Raw genomic sequence first — 17,796 nt, forward strand, 5'->3', positions numbered from 1 at the left:
CAGCTAAATACAGTTTTTGTTTGTCAACTATACCTCAAAAGCTGGGAAAATAAATACACACATGTAAAAGAAAGAAAGGACTGCCTACATGGTTGCTTAGCCTAGTAAAAGTCTCGGAGCTATAAATTGCAATAAACTAGGCCAGGCGTGGTGGCTCACACCTGTAATTCCAGCACTTTGGGAGGCCGAGGCGGGCGGATCACCCAAGGTTGGGAGTTGGAGACCAGCCTGACAAAACATGGAGAAACTCTGTCTCCACTAAAAATACAAAAAATTAGCCAGGCGTGGTGGTGCATGCCTGTAATCCCAGCTACTTGGGAGGCTGAGGTAGGAGAATCACTTGAATCCGGGAGGTGGAGGTTGCCGTGAGCCGAGATCACGCCATTGCACTCCAGCCTGGGCAACAAGAGCAAAACTCGATCTCAAAAAAAAAAAAAAAAATGCAATAAACTTGGGTCATGATAGTCTGGGGCCATTGCTCAGAGATGCCAGCCAGGTATGGATGAGGAGTCAAAAGTAACAAGCATATATTGCTTTTTGGATATAGCAAGAAAAAGAAAGAAAGAGAGAGAGAAAGAGGGAAGAAAGGCAGACAGGAAGGAAGGAGACAGAAAGGAAGAGTGAAAGAAGGAAAGGAAGGAAGGAAGGAGAGAGAAAGAAAGGAAGAGAGAAAGAAAGAGAAAGGAAGGAAGGAAGGAAGGGAGGAAGGAAGGAAAGAGGCCTGGCATGGTGGCTTACGCTTTTAATCGCAGCACTTTGGGAGGCCAAGGCAGGTGGATCACTTGAAGTCAGGAATTTGAGACCAGTCTGGTCAACATGGTGAAACCTCATCTCAACTAAGAATACAAAAATTAGCCCGGCATGGTGGCGGTCACCTGTAATCCCAGCTGCTTGGGAGGCTGAGGCAGGAGAATCACTTGAACCCGGGAGGCAGAGGTTGCAGTGAGCTGAGATAGTGCCACTGTGCTCCAGCCTGGGCGACAAAGGAAGACTCCATCTCAAAAAGAAAGAGAAAGAGAAGGAAGGAAGGAAGGAAGGAAGATAGTAAGAAAGAAAAAAAAAGAAGGAAAGAAGAGATAAAGGAAAGAAAGAAAGAGAAAGAGAGAAAAAGGGAAAGAAGGAAAGAGGAAAGAAGAAAGGAAGGAAAGAAAAGAAGAAGGGAAGAAGAAGAAGAAAAAGTGAAAGGAAGGAAGGAAGGAAGGAAGCAAAAGCAAAAATAACAAGCAGCAGAGAGGAAGGGGTTAATCAGAAGCACCCAAGCAGCCACACTCCCTCCTCTGAGTTTGTCCTCTGCCAATTGGCAGAGACGCCAAGGAACAAAACTTTGCCTTTACTGCAACTGGCCAACAGCAAACACTCAAAACCATCATCCAAAATGCTGGACGACATAGTTTTGCCTCTTCTCAGTTTTAGGGTTGTTTTTTTTTTTTCTCAGCCTGTGCCATTTCAGACCTTTGTCGGTTACCACAAATTCATCTAGAGGGTGGTGGTCAACCCAACGAGGAGGTCTTTCTGCCTGTTTCTTTGCCAGAAATAGAAACACATTCATGCTAGTGTAGGAAATAAGAGAATATGCTGGGTGCAGTAGCTCACTCCTGTAATGCCAGCGTTTTGGGAGGCTGAGGTGGGAGGATCACTTGAATCCAGGAGTTTGAGACCAGCCTAGACAACAGAGTGAGGCCCCTGTCTATACAACAATTTTTTTTAATTAGCTGAGCATGGTGGTGCTACTCCGGAGGCTGAGATGGGAGGATCACTTGAGCACAGGAGTTGAAGACTGCAGTAAGCCATAATTGTGCCACTGGGCTTCCTTCCAATGAAGAGTTAGGGAAATTCAAGTCTGTCTTATAGCTGACTCCAGGGGACATATCCCAGATTTCCCGACTGGCTTACACTCTATAAGAGTACAAATACGGCGTGGTGTGGTGGCTCACACCCGTAATCCCAGCACTTTGGGAGGCCAAGGTGGGAGAATTACTTGAGCCCAGGAGTTCAAGACCAGCCTGGGCAACAAAGTGAGAGCCCCTGCCTCAGTGAAAAGTAAAAATATTAGCTGGGCGTGGTGGCTCACACCTGTAGTCCCAGCTACTCGGGAGGCTGAGGCAGGAGGATTTGTTGAGCCAGGAGGTCATGGCTGCAGTGAGCTGTGATCATGCCACTGCACTCCAGTCTGGGCAACAGAGCAAGACCCTGTCTCCAAAAACAGTGCAAATAACAACTGGGGCATGTTCCAGAATAGAGGGGTGGCCCATTGGGCCATTCTGTTGAAGTTGACTTGGAGGAAGTGAGTTGTCATGGAAACTGTCATAAAAATCAGAGCAGCTTCTCCTTCCTTCTCCCTCTGGGGTCCTCTCTGCACATCAACTCCTCTTGTAGACTCTTCCTTCGGCCCCTCTGGAACTTCAGCTTGCCTTGAGCCACAGTTGGCATCAGGAGCCCATATTTCTGTGACCAGGTGCCATCTTACTGACTTTTTCTTTGGGTCCTAATTCCAAAGTACAGGGAGACAGAAATCAAATGGCCTACTTGGTCCCATATCTGGTCCAATTAGTAAAGCCAGATCTCTCACAGGGGTGGCGGGGGAGGTGGTTTATAAAGCATGATGATAAGGTGGATGATTTTGGTTGCTCCAGTTCCATGAAAATATGTTATGCTTACACATCAGATCCATGTGGCAGGATGGTGAGAGCTTTGCTCTTGGAGCAGACCTGAGATCCTTCTAGGCTAGAGGTCGTCACCTCAGGATAGTTCTCCACGCCCCCCATCCCCCCACAGGGGACACTAGACAGTGTGTCTGGAAGCATTTTTGGTTGTCATGACTGAGCAGGGTGGTGCTCCTGGTGTCTTTACTGAGTGGAGTCCAGGGATGCTGTTTAACACCCTACAGTGCAAAGGATTGTCCTACTTTAGAGAATGATCCAGCCCCAGATGTTGATAGTGCAGAGAGTAAGAAACCTTGCCTTAGCCTGAGAGACCCTATCCATTCATCCATCCATCAATCCCTCCCTCCCTCCCTCCATCATCTCTATCATCCATCCATCCATCCATCCATCCATCCATCCATCCATTCATCAATTCGACCTTTCATCCATCCATTGTCTCTATCTTCCATCCATCTATCCATCATCTCAATCCTCCATCCTTCCATCCATTCTCTCTAAATTCCATCTATCCTTCCATCCATCATCTCTATCTTCCTTTTATCCATCATCTCTATCTTCCATCTATCCATCCATCCATCCATCCATCCATCCACCCATCATCTCGATCTTCCTTCCATCCATCATCTCTATCATCCATCCATCTATTCATCTATCTATCCATCATCTTGACCTTTCATCCATCCGTCCATCATCTCTATCTTCCATCCATCTATCCATCATCTCGATCTTCCATCCTTCCGTCCATTCTCTCTAAATCCATCTATCCATCCATCCATCATCTCCATCTTCCATCCATCTATCCATCATCTCTATATTCCATCCATCCATCCACCCATCATGTCTATCTTCCATCCATCCATCCATCCACCCATTGTTTCTATCTTCTTTCCATCCATCATCTCTATCATCCATCCACCCATCATCTCTATCTTCCATCCATCTATCCATCCGTCTATCCGCCCATCATTTCTATCTTCCTCCCATCCATCATCTCTATTTTCCATCCATCCATCCATCCATCCATCCATCCATCCATCCATCCATCATCTCTATCTTCCATTCATCTATCCATCATCTCGATCTTCCATCCTTCCACCCATTCTCTCTAAAGTCCATCTATCCTTCCATCCATCATCTGTCTTCCTTTTATCCATCATCTCTATCTTCCATCCATCCATCCATCCACTCTATTCTTCCTTGCATCCATCATCTCTATCTTCCATCCATCCATCATCTCTAGCATCCATCCATCCATCCATCATCTCTATCTTCCTTCCATCCATCATCTCTATAGCCATCCATCCATCCACCCACCTATCATCTCTATCATCCATCCATCCATCCATCCATCCATCCACACATCATCTCTATCTTCCCTGCATCCATCATCTCTATCTTCCATCCATCCATCCATTCATCCACCCATCCGTCATATCTATCTATCTATGTCTATCTCTATATATCTATATATTTCTCTATGTCCCATCGATAAATATGTATAGTCTCAATCTATCTCTATCACTTCTAGTAATCTATCATTGTATCTCTCTACCATCTGTCTATACCTATCTAACTCTATATCTATCCCACATCTACAAATACATCATTTTAATCTATCCACCTATTTAAATGATCTATTTATCTATCATCTCTATTTCTATCCATCTAGTCATTTATAATCAATCAATAAATCTCTATATCTATCTCTCTATTTCTCATCTATATCGATCCTGTCTATCATTAATATCTCTCTCTCTCTTTTTTGGGGGGGGACAGGGTCTCACTCTCTTGACCCAGACTGGAGTGCACTGAAGCGATCACAGCTCGCCGCAGTCTTGACTTCTTGGGCTCAAGCGATCCTCCCATCTCAGCCCCCTCTGAGTAGCTGAGACTACAGGTGCATGCCACCACACCCAGTTATTTATTTCTTCTTTTTTTTCTTTGAGACAGAGTCTCACTCTGTTGCTTAGCCTGGAATGCAGTGGTGCAATCTCAGCTCACTGCAACCTCCGCCTCCTAGGTTCAAATGATTCTCATGTCTCAGCCTCTCAAGTAGCTGGGATTACAGGCGTGCACCACCATGCCTGGCTAATTTTTGTATCTTTAGTAGAGACAGGGTTTTGCCATATTGGCCAGGCTGGTCTCGAACTCCTGGCCTCAAATAATCTGCCACCTTGGCCTCCCAAAGTGCTAGGATTACAGGAATGAGCCACCACATCCAGCCTTATTTATTTATTTATTTATTTATTTATTTAGTAGAGATGGGGTCTCACTATGTTGCCCAGGCTGCTCTCAAACTCCTGGGCTCAAGCGATCCTCCCACCTTGGCCTCCCAAAGTGCTGGGATTACAGGCGTGAGCCACCGTACCTGGCCTATAATCTATCTCTGTATATACAGTTGGCTCTTGAACAAACTGGGAGTTAGGGGAACCAGCTGTCTCCCAACGTACCTCAAAATTGATGTATAACTTTTGACTCCCCTAAAACTTAAATACTAATAGCCTACTGTTGACCAGAAGCCTTACCAGTAACATAAATGGTCGACGAACATGTATTTCATATGTTCTATGTATTACAGACTGTATTCCTACAACAAAACAAGGTAGAGAAAAGAAAATGATAGTAAGAAAATCATAAAGGGGGGCTGGGCATGGTGGCTCATGCTTTTAATTCCAGCTACTTGGGAGGCTGAGTACGAGAATTGCTTGAACCTGGGAGGCGGAGGTTGCAGTGAGCCTAGATCACGCCATTGCACTTGAGCCTGGGTGACAGAGCAAGACTCTGCCTCAAAAAAATAGAAAATAATAAGGAAGAAAAATACATGTACTATTCATGAAGTGGAAGTGGATATCACAAAGGTCTTCATCCTTGTCATCTTCACATTGAGTAGGCAGAGGAAGAGGAGGAAGAGGGGAGGAGGAGAAGGGGACTTGGTCTTGCTGTCTCAGAGACAGCACAGGCGGAAGAAAATCCACATATAAGTGGACTCATGCAGTTCAAACCTGTGTTCTTCAAGGGTCAACTATATGTCTATCTGCCTATTTATATCTATTTATCTATCATCTGTCTATTTATCTTTATGTTTATCTATCTCTGTATCTATTGCTCTATCTCTTATTTATCTCTCCATATAATCTGTCTATCTATAATCTATATGCCTATCTATACATCTGCCTGTCTATCATGCTACCAGCATCTAGTGGGTGGAGGCTTGGGTGGAGACTGCTACACATCCTACAATAGGGGTCCCCATCCCCCAGTACCGGTACTGCTCCGTGGCCTGTTAGGAACCAGGCTGCACAGCAGGAGGTGAGCAGTGGGCGAACAAGTGAAGCTTCATCTGTATCTACAGCCACTTCTTGCTGCTCCTCATCACTCCCATTACCACCCGAGCTCCCCCTCTTGTCAGGTCAGCAGCATCATTAGATTCTCATAAGAGCACAAACCTTGTTGGGAACTGCGCATATGAGGGATCTAGGTTGCTTGAACCTTATGAGAATCTAATGCCTGATGACCTGTCACTGTCTCCCATCACCCCCAGATGGGACTGTCTACTTTCAGGAAAACAAGCTCAGGGCTCCCACTGATTCTACATGATGGGGAGTTGTAGAATTATTTCGTTATATATTGCAATGTAATAATAATAGAAATAAAGTGTGCAAGTGTGATGCACTTGATCATCCCAAAACCATCACCCCTACCCTGGTCCGCGGGAAAAAAATTGTCTTCCAAGAAACCGGTCCCTGGTGCCAAAAAGACTGGGGACTGCTGCCCTACAACACACAGGACGGTCCCCACCCTAAAAAATGATCTGACCCCAAACATCAACCATGCGAGCCCAAGAAACGCTGCACTCAGCATGCCCTGTGCCCTCTGGGAGCCTCACTTCCTCCTCCGCATGGAGGGGCTGGTTGGGAGAGCATCCATCCTCCAAGGCTACTGGAAGGACCAATGAGATCATACTCGCCAGAATAAGAGTTCAGAAAAAGAGGAACTAGTGCATTTTCTTCTTAGCCCTCAACAGTTTTGCTTTTGGCAGATGAGGAAACTGAGGCAAAGAGAAGGTACATTCCTCACCAAGGTCTCCCAGCTAGGCTCAAACGCAAGCCTGATGACCATGCACAGCCCTGTTTTGCAATTCAGGCTAGGCGGGTCCTCTGGGAGTGCCAAGTGAGGTGCCCGCTCTGAGGTTCGCATTGCTTAGGGGATGTCTTCAGGGATGAAGATAGGCTCTCAACCTAGCGGTTCACCCATGACCAGGGGCACATCTCCTAGGCTCTGTCTGATACCATATCATAGAATTTTGCAGGCCAGGTGCAGTGGCTCACGCCTAATCCCAACACTTTGGGAGGCTGAGGCAGGCAGATCACCTGAGATCAGGAGTTGAACAGCAGCCTGGCCAACATAGTGAAACCCCATCTCTACTAAAAATACAAAAATTAGCCGGGCGTGGTGGTGCACACCTGTAGTCCCAGCTACATGGGAGGCTGAGGCAGGAGAATCGCTTGAAGCCAGGAGGCAGAGATTGCAGTGAGCTGAGATGGCGCCACTGAACTCCAACCTAGGCAACAGAGTGAGACTCTGTCTCAAAAAAAAAAAAAGAATTTTGGAAAGAGTACAGTGTTGGGTATGACATTATTACCAATATGGTAACTACAAGCCACAAAAACTATGGAACACTTGAAAGGTGCTTCACACAACTCAGAAACTGAATTTAAAACTTTGAAAGATGGTTCATGCAACCAAGAAACCGCATTTTGAATTTTATTAATTTTTAACCAGTTTAACTTTATTTGTATTTATTTGTTCATGTATTTATGTATTTATTTTAGAGACAGGGCCTCACTCTTTTGCCCAGTCTGGAGTGCAGTGATGTAATCACAGCTCACTGCAGCCTCAACCTCCTGGGCTCAAGTGATCCTCCCACCTCAGCCTCTAGAGTAGCAGGGACTACAGGTGTGTGCCCCTATGCCCAGCTAATTTTTAAATTTTTTTGTAGAGATGGGGTCTCCCTTTGTTGCCTAGGCTGGTCTTGAGCTCTGGCCTCGAGCAGTCCTCCTGCCTCAGCCTCCCAAAGTGCAGGGATTACAGGTGTGAGCCACCACGCCCAGCCCAATTATCCTAATTTAAAGACAAGCCTTGGTGGGCCAGGGTGGAGTGGGGTAGGTGCAGTTGGTTTCTGCATTATTTTCCTTGAGTTACCACTTCCCTCCCTATAGTGTCTGTCTCAGACCCCTTCGAGGTTGAGGAGCGGGCCATTTATGGTTCTGTAGGTGTGCATGCAGAGGAAAAGATTGGCACTTTGGGAGACCGAGGCAGGTGGATCACGAGGTCAGGAGTTGGAGACCAGCTTGACTAACATGGTGAAACCCCGTCTCTACTAAAAATGCAAAAATTAGCCAGGCGTGGTGGCGCCTGTAGTCCCAGCTACTCAGGAGACTGAGGCAGGAGAATCGCTTGAACCCGCGAGGCGGAGGTTGCAGTGAGCCGAGATTGCACCACTGCACTCCAACCTGGGCGACAGAGTGAAACTCTGTCTCAAAAAAAAAAAAAAAAAAAAAAAAAAAATCGGAAAAGGTCTTCCTTGGTGGGTATTGCCCTAACCGTGCTTGGTACCTTGTGGGCGCTGTCCAAATGCTGATCCCAGGTGATGTGCTGGACACCGCGCGGGTGGCTGTATCCCTCCCTCTCTTGGATTCTGCATCCTCCAAATGCAGAAGACATGAGATGTGCCTCAAAGCCCCACTGGTCCTCCCTTCAGACACGGTCTCTCGGAGGCGGAGCTGAAGGATGTTTTGTCCCTGGACGACGAGGTCCTGCAGGATGTGTACCGAGATTGGACCCCGCCCAGCAAGGAGCTGCTGCGCTTCCCGCCCCTGCTGTGGGTGCGGCTTCGTCGGGATCTGGGATACTACTTGGCCCGGCGGCCCGTGGATGGCTTCACCCTCCTGGCCATTGCCCACAGGTAGGTCCAGGCAGCAGTGGCAGCGACACTGTCTGGGTGGGACCCCAAGAATGAGGACTCACTGGCCGGGGGTCTTCTCAGTATCAGATCCTTCACTTACCATTCCCAGGGAATCAAGTCCAGTTAGAACTCTGACACAATTCACTTATTTTTAAAATTGAGTTGAGGCTGGAAGCAGTGGCTCATGCCTATAATCCCAGCACTTTGTGGGGCCAGGGCAGGAGGATTGCTGGAGGCCAGGAGTTGGAGATCAGCCTGGGCAACGTAGCGAGGCCCCATCTCTACAAAAAAAATAAGAAAATTAGCTAGGTGTGTTAGCACTTTGGGAGGCTGAGGTGGCGGATCACCTGAGGTCAGGAGTTTGAGACCAGTCTGACCAACATGGTGAAACCCTGTCTCTATTAAAAATACAAAAATTAGCCAGACGCGGTGGCACGTGCCTGTAATCCCAGCTGCTCGGGAGGCTGAGGCTGGAGAATCACTTGAACCTGGGAGGCAGAGGTGGCAGTGAGCCAAGATCGCACCACTGTACTCCAGCCTGGCAACAGAGCGAGACTCCATTTCAAAAAAAAGAAAATTAGCTGGGTGTGATGGTACACACTTGTGGTCCCAGCTACTTGGGAGGCTGAGGTGGGAGGATCACTTGAGCCCAGGAGTTTGAGGCCACACTGAGCCGTGACTGTACCACTGCACTCCAGTCTGGGTGACAGAGTGAGATCCTGTTTCAAACTAAACTAAACTAGACTAAACTAAACTAAACTAAACTAAACTAGGTGAAGTTCATGAAACATAAAATTCACCATTTTATTTTATTTTATTTTATTTTATTTTATTTTATTTTATTTTATGTATTTTGAGACAGGGTCTCGCCCAGGCTGCAGTACAGTGGTTGTCATCATGGCTCACTGCAGCCTCAAACTCCTGGACTCAAGCAACCCTCCCACCTCAGCCTCCGGAGTAGCTGGAACTACAGGCATGCACCACCATGCCTGGCTAATTTTTAAATTTTTTTGTGGAGATGGGGTCTCACCACATTGCCCAGGCTGGTCTCGAGCTCCTGGGCTCAAGAGACACACCCACATCGGCCTCCCAAAGTGCTGGGATTACAGGTGTGAGCTACCATGCCTGGCCAATTCACCACATTTTATTTTATTTATTTAATTTTATTTTATTATTTTTTGAGACAGAGTCTTGCTCTGTTGCCCAGGCTAGAGTGCAGCGGCACAATCTTGGCTCACTGCAACCTCTGCCTCCCAGGTTTCAGCGATTCTCCTGCCTTAGCTTCCTGAGTAGCTAGGTTTACAAGCATGAGCCACCACACCCAGCTAATTTTTGTATTTTTAGTAGAGACGGGTTTCACCATGTTGGCCACGCTGGTCTCAAACTCCTGACCTCAGGTGATCTGCCCGCCTTGGCCTCCCAAAGTGCTGGGGTTACAGGCGTGAGCCACTGTGCCCAGTCAGAATTTTAAAGTTGACAATTGAGTGGTATTTTAGTACACTCATAATGTTGCACCCCTCACCTCTGTCTAGTTCCAGAACGTTTTCATCTCCCCAAAAGGAGACCCTGTCCCCATCAGCCGTCACTCCTCATTCCCCTTCCCTAACCCCTGGCAGCCACTCATCTGCTTCCTGTCTCTGTGGATTTGCCTGTTCTGGGCATTTCAGATCAACGAAATCTCACACTATGTGGCCTTTTGTGTCTGGCTTCTTTCACTCAGCATTATGTTCTCAGGGCTCATCCACATTGTAGCAGGGATCAGTGCTTCCTTCCTTTTCATGGCTACATAATATTTCATTGTATGGATGGACCAGGTTTTGTTTATCTTCGTCTATGGATGGACACTTGCATTGTTTCCACGTTTTTGCTGTTGTGAACATGCATGTGTAAGGTTTTGTTTGAACACCTGTTCCCTTTCTTTCTCTTTCTTTCTTTCTTTCCTTCTTTCTCTTTTTTTCCTTTTTTCTTTTTGGAGTCTCTCTCTGTTGCCCAGGCTGGAGTGCAGTGGCACCACCTCAGCTCACTGCAACCTCCACCTGGGAGGAGTGATTCTCCTGCCTCAGCCTCCCAAGAGCACACCACCACGCCCAGCTAATTTTTGTATTCTTTTTTTTAGTACAGACAGGGTTTCACCACGTTGGCCAGGCTGGTCTTGAACTCCTGACCTCAGGTGATGCACCCGCCTCAGCCTCCCAAAGTGCTGGGATCACAGGCATGAGCCACTGCACCCAGCCTGAACACCTGTTTCTTAATTCTCGGTATATACCCAGGAGTGGATTTGCTGGGTCAGGTGGTAAGTTATTTTATGTGTAAATTTTGGAGGAGCTCAAATGTTCCTCTTTGAAATGTATGTAAGGAAAGTAAATTGATGTAAGGAAAAAAAAAACACGGACCAATTTAGAGATAGATGTGATGTATCAAATAGCACAGGTGGTCAACAGAGTGGTTTAGGATGGCTTGGGATTTGGGAACTGCCTCCAGGAAGACAAGCAGCCACCTTTGAGCTTGATGGGTCACCCAGGTCTATCAGTCTGTATACCCTCTCTGTAGACAGCTGGTCGAGGTGGTCCGTGAGCGCTACCTGTCAGGATCCGAGAGAGCCAAGAGGCATGGCGTCCTGGCCGACTTCTTCTCAGGGACCTGGAGCCAGGGTACCAAGAAGCTCATCACTCTGCCACTTGTGGGGAAACCACTGAACTTGGACCGAAAGGTGAGGTACCTGGGACCCCCATTCCCCACCTGCAACCTCCACCCTGCCTGGCATTGCTCACCTCCTTCCTTCCCCTTTTTGCACTCGAAATGTCCTCCCGACCTACTTCTCCTTTCCGCACAGAGGGCAAGATGTCCCTTCTACTGTCCCCCCCACTCCTTTTTTTTTTTTTTTTTGAGACAGAGTCTTACTCTGTCGCCCAGGCTGGAGTGCAATGGCGTGATCTCAGCTCACTGCAACCTCTGCCTCCCAGGTTCAAGCCATTTTCCTGCCTCAGCCTCCCAAGTAGCTGGGATTACAGGCACCCGCCACCATGCCTGGCTAATTTTTGTATTTTTAGTAGAGACGGGGTTTCACCACGTTGGCCATACTGGTCTCGAACTCCTGCCTGGGCAACAGAGAGAAACTCTGTCTCAAAAACAAACAAACAAACAAAGTACAGAGTTATTGTGGACTCTTCTCCCTGATGTTAAAATCTTATATAACTGTTGTATAATGATTGCAACTAGGAAATTACACTTTTAATTCTTTGGTTATAGCTTGATGTTTCTTTTTCTCTGTCTTCCCTGCTGGACTGGGGAGGCTGGAGGCAGGACCAGGCTCTATTCTTTTTTTGGTGCTGCCTTTTCTTTTTCCCTCCCTCGCTTCCTTCCTTCCTTCCTTCCTGACAGAGTCTTGCTCTGTCACCCAGGCTGGAGTTCACTGGCATGATCTCAGGTCACTACAGCCTCTGCCTCCCAGGTTCAAGCGATTCTCCCACTCAGCCTCCCTAGTACCTGGGACTACAGGTGTGTGCCACTGCACCTGGCTAATTTTTGTATTTTTAGTAGAGACGGGGTTTTGCCATGTTGGCCAGGCTGGTCTCGAACTCCTGATCTCAAGTGATCTGCCTTGGCCTCCCAAAGCACTGAGATTACAGGCGTGTAATTACAGGTGGGATTACCACACCTAGCCTGGTGCTGACCCTTCTCTTCTCCCCCCGAGACCCATTCACAAATCCTTTCCTGTGTGCCCAGAGTCCCTGCAGACTCAGCTTCATCCTGCCTCTCCAGGACATGGTCTGAGCCCCTTTCATTCACCTAGCCTCTCAGTCTCTTGCCCTAGTGCATCCTCCCAAGGATGCTTCTGACCATCCAATCTGATTATGATTATGCCTCTTGTCTAAAACCTTCCATAGCTCCCCAGTGCCCTCAGTCTTGAGCCTGACCTACCCAGCCTGATATTCAGTGCCTTCGTGATCTGCTGCTTACAAGCTCCCTACTCTCATTTCCCACCCGCATCCCCTAACCTGACTTGTATAATTCAGTCCTCCCAAACTCAGCCTGCTCTTTCACACCTCCAGACCTTTGCCCATGCTGTTCCCTTGCCCTGGAATGCCATTGTTTTCTGACACATTTTGCCACATAGATGCCCACTTAATTCTGAGGCTCAGTTCCGATGCCTCTGCCTTCAGGAAACATTCCCTATTCCTCCCAGAAAGTCCCATGACCTCTGGCTTTGATTCTCTGAGTCCCAGATGTCGTCCTCTGCTCCAGCCCTGACCAATGGGCACATGGGGGTATGTCTGTCTTCCATTGCATTCTCGTCCACTCCAGCACTGTCTGGAGCATGAGGTGAATGAATGGGCTTGTGCGTGGAGTGAATGAATGGGTTTGTGTCCAAGCTGCAGTCTCCCTTCTCCTCTGCCAGGTGGCCCCGCAGCCTCTGTGGTTCTCACATACGGTTGCAAACCTGCGGAAGCTGAAGGAGTTGCCCTATCACCTGCTTCACTCGGGCCGCCTGGAGGAGCTGAAACAGGAGGTTCTGGGTAAGGGCTGCCCCCCATCTCAGAGGACCGAGCCTGGTGACTGCACCACGCTCCAGTCTTCTAGAGCCTGGGGAGGGTGAAGGGCAAACATGGAAATCCTTCGTTCCTCCTAAGGCAGAGGTTCTCACAAGGGGCAATTCTACACCCAGGGGATGCCTTACAGTGTCCGCAGATAGTTTTGGTTGTCACAGCTAGGGGAGAAGGCACTACTTGAATCTGGTGGGTGGAGGCCAGGAATGCTGCTTAATACCCTACAGTGCACAGGACACCCTACCACAGAAAATAATCTAGCTCCAAATGTTGGTGCATAGAGTGAAAACCCCTGCCTTATCATGAGAGACCCTATCTGTCTGTCTGTCTATTTGTCAGTCTGTTCATCCACCTATCCATCCATCCATCCATCCACCCATCTTCTGTCCATCCATCCATCCATCCATCCATCCATCCATCCATCCATCTAACTATCCATTTATCCACCCATCCATCTATGATCTCCTTATTGAGCCATGAGCTGGTTATAACCATCCATCCATCCATCCATCCATCCACTCATCCTTCTGTCTGTCCATCCATCCATCCATCATTCTATCTATCTATCCATGCACCCATTATATGTCCATTATCTATTCATTCATCTACCTTTCTGGTCATCCATCCATCCATCCACCCATCATTCTATCCATCCACCCACCTATCTTTCTGTTTGTCCATCCATGCACCAATCCACCCAACATTCTTTCTATCTCCCTCTCTCTCTCTCTCTATCCATCCATTCACCAATCCCCGTGATTCTTAACCAGAAGAGATTCTGCCCCCCCAGGGGACACTTGACAATGTCTGCAGACATGTTTGATTGTCACACTTGGGGTGGGAGTGCTACTGGTATCTGGTGGGTGGAGGCCAGGGTTGCTGCTTTACATCCCACAATGCATAGTTCAGCCCCTTACCACAGAGAATGATCCTGCCCCAGTGTCACTACTGCTGAGCCTGAGATGCCCTGGAGGAAATGGAGAGATGATTCTCCACCTCCCAGGATGAACTGGAGGGAGGTAGGCACTTCCCACATCCTCCCCCCTTCTCTCCCTCAGGCAGCATGAGCTGGATTTCCTGCCGGGGCATCTCTGGGGGCATTGAAGACCTGCTGGATGACTTTGACCTGTGTGCCCCTCACCTGGACTCCCCTGAGGTTGGCCTGGTCCGTGAAGCCCTCCAGCTCTGCCGCCCTGCTGTGGAGCTCCGAGGCATGGGTGAGTCCAGATGGCCTGGATAGGAGTGACCAGGACGGGCACTGACTTCTAGAAACATGCTCTCCTCATTGAGTCATGAGCTGGATTTTCATCAATTCTCATACCTTTCCTGTCTAAACATGTGAATTTTCCCCCAGCAGTGCTTCTAGAATTTTTTTTGACATGTGGTATCGCTGTGTCACCCAGGCTGGAGTTCAGTGGTGCAATCGTAGCTCACTGTAGCCTCAGACTCCTGGGTTCAAATGCTCCTCCCACCTCAGCCTCCTGAGTAGCTAGGACCACAGGTATGCACCACTGTGCCTTGCTAATTTTTCTATTTTTCGTAGAGACAGGGTCTCACTGTGTTGCCCAGGCTAGTCTCAAACTCCTGGGCTCAAGGGATCTTCTTGCCTCAGCCTCCCAGAGTGCTAGGATTATAGATAGACATGAGCCATGGCGCCTGGCCTAGAATTTTAAATTGAGCCTGGGAGAGCTTTGGACTGAATACTACCAAAGCAGGGCCCATCCTGTTGCCCTGGACTTTTCTTTAGAAAGTGCCAGGTAGGGCTGGGCGCAGTGGCTCACACCTGTAATCCCAGCACTCTGGGAAGCCGAGGCAGGCAGATCACAAGGTCAGAAGTTTGAGACCAGCCTGGTCAATATGGTGAAACCCTGTCTCTACTAAAAATACAAAAATTAGCAGGGTGTGGTGGTGGGCACCTGTAGTCCCAGCTACTCGGGAGGCTGAGGCAGGAGAATTGCTGGAACCTGGGAGGCGGAGGTTACAGTGAGCCGAGATCGCACCACTGCACTCCAGCCTGGGCAACAGAGTGAGACTCCGTCTCAAAAAAAAAAAAAAAAAAAGAAAGAAAGAAAAGAAAGCACCAGATAGGAACTATTTCGAGAAAACTCGAGGAAATTATGTAGGTACATATATGATAAGAGAGAAAACAAAGTTCCCACATATTTTTTATTGATGAAATTCAAAATATAATAATAACTGAGTACAAAACTTCAGGTTCAGAGTTGGTTTTCACTATTATCTGGTCCATTGCAAACACATGGCTGTAAAAATTATTCTCAGGCTGAGCATGATGGCTTACACCTGTAGTCCCAGCTACTTGGGAAGGTGAGGTGGGAGGATCAATTGAGCCTGGGAGGTCGAGGCTGCAGTAAACTGTGATTGCTCCGCTGCATTCCAGCCTGGGTGACAGAGCGAGACCCTGTCTCAAAACGAACAAACCAAAAAAAAACTTATTTCTAGCTCCCAGATGACTTGGGCTGGGTCTGGCCCTCAGACTGCAATTTGCTACTCCCTGCCCTAGAGCTTGAAGAATCTCTCCAAGTCTTTAGACGCTCTGGCCATGAGGATGTTCTGTTTGGTTTTGTTTTAATTATAGCAAAATACATGTCTTAACCATTTTTTTTTTTTGAGACAGGATCTCGCTTCATTACCCAGGCTAGAGTACAGTGGCATGATCTCAGCTCACTGCAACCTCCGCCTATCAGGCTCAAGAGATCCTCCTACCTCAGCCTTCTGAGTAGCTGAGACTACTGACATGTATCATCATGCCTGGCTAATTTTTGTATATTTTGTAGAGACGGGATTTTGCCATGTTTCACAGGCAGGTCTTGAACTCCTGGACTCAAGCAATCCTCCTGCCTCAGACTCCCAAAGTGCTGGGATGACAGGCATGAACCACTGTGCCTGACCCCCATCTTAACCATTTTTATGTGTGCAGTTCAGTGATTAAATATATTAATAATGTGCAGCTATCACCACCATTCATCTCCAGAACTTGTTAATCTTCCTAAAGTGAAACTCTGTTTTCATTAAACATTCACTCCCTGTACTAGTCTGTTTTCACACTGCTATAAAGAAACACCCAAGACTGGGTAATTTACAAAGGAAAGAGGTTTAATTGACTCATAGTTCTGCATGGCTGGGAAGGCCTCAGGAAACTTACAATCATGGCAGAAGGGAAAGAGGTGCGTCTTTTTTTTTTTTTTTTTTTTTTTTTTTGGTGAGACAGAGTCTCGCTCTGTCGCCCAGGCTGGAGTGCAGTGGTGCGATCTCGGCTCACTGCAAGCTCCGCCTCCTGGGTTCATGCATGGCAGCAGGCGAGAGAGAGGGAGCAACTGCCTTATAAAACCATCGGACGGCCAGGTGTGGTGGCTCACGCCTATAATCCCAGCACTTTGGGAGGCCGAGGCAGGCAGATCACTTGAGGTCAGGAGTTTGAGACCAGCCTGGCCAACATGGTGAAACCCCAGCTCTACTAAAAATACAAAAATTTGTCAGGCGTGGTGGCACATGCCTGTAGTTCCAGCTACTTGAGAGGCTGAGGTGGGAAAATTGCTTGAACACGGGCGGCAGAGGTTGCAGTGACCAGAAATCCCACCATGCACTCCAGCCTGGGTGACAGAGTGAGACTGTGTCTCCAATAAAACCCAAAAAACCATCAGATCTCGTGAAAACTCACTGTCATGAGAACAGCATGGGGGAACCACCCCCATGATCCAATCACCTCCCACCTGGTCCCTCCCTCAACATGTGGGGATTATGGGGATTACAATTCAAGATGAGATTTGGGTAGGGACACAGAGCCAACCCATATCTCTCCCCATTCTCCCTTCACCCCAGTCCCTGGCAACCACCATGCTATTTTCTGTCTCTATAAATTTGACTGCTTTAGGTATTTCATATAAGTGGTATTTTACAGTATTTGTCCTTTATTCTCTGACTTCTCTTACTGAGCAGAATGTCCTCAAGTTTCATCCACATTGTAGCATATGTCAGAATTTCCTTCCTTTTTTTTTTTTTTTTTTTTTTTTTGCACGACAGAGTCTCGCTCTGTCACCCAGGCTGGAGTGCAGTGGCACGATCTCAGCTCACCGCAACCTCCACCTCCTGGGTTGCTCAAGCAATTGTCCTGCCTCAGCCTCCAGAGTAGCTGGGATTACAGGTGTGTGCCACCACATGCAGCTAATTTTTGTATTTTTTAGTAGAGATGGGGTTTTGCTATGTTAGCCAGGCTGGTCTCGAACTCCTGACCTCATGTGATCTGCCCACCTTGGCCTCCCAAAGTGCTGGGATTACAGGCTTGAGCTACCATGCCTGGCTAAGAATTTCCTTCCTTTTCAAGGCTAAGAATTTCCTTCCTTTTAAAGGCTTAATAATATTGCATTGTATGAATATGCCACATTTTGTTTATCCGTTCATCTGTCTGTGGACATTTGTGTGTTTCTACCTTTTGGATATTGTGAAAAGGAATCACTAGATCACATGGAAATTTTGTGTTTAACTTTTTGAGGAACGACCACTTCATTTTCCACAAAAGCTACACCATTTTATAATCAAACTATGGGAGACAATAAATAATATCTTTTTCTCTACCCTTTTATGTTCAGTGATAGGGGCCTGT

At 47.6% G+C, this 17,796-nt stretch overlaps 1 protein-coding gene across 10 annotated transcripts in view; it reads left to right on the plus strand.

Moving 5' to 3' along the window:
• NWD1 (NACHT and WD repeat domain containing 1) overlaps positions 1–17,796 on the plus strand; it is a 98,117-nt gene that overhangs the window by 30,954 nt on the left and 49,367 nt on the right. For all 10 annotated transcript variants that reach the window (XM_011527929.2, XM_024451466.2, XM_011527930.3 and 7 more), the window contains 4 exons: positions 8,425–8,628; positions 11,179–11,338; positions 13,028–13,145; positions 14,234–14,392. In XM_011527929.2, coding sequence (XP_011526231.1) covers positions 8,425–8,628; positions 11,179–11,338; positions 13,028–13,145; positions 14,234–14,392 — 641 coding nt within the window. The remainder of the gene's footprint in view (positions 1–8,424; positions 8,629–11,178; positions 11,339–13,027; positions 13,146–14,233; positions 14,393–17,796) is intronic.

This window comes from Homo sapiens, chromosome 19, assembly GCF_000001405.40.
Source record: "Homo sapiens chromosome 19, GRCh38.p14 Primary Assembly".
Lineage (NCBI taxonomy): Eukaryota > Metazoa > Chordata > Mammalia > Primates > Hominidae > Homo > Homo sapiens.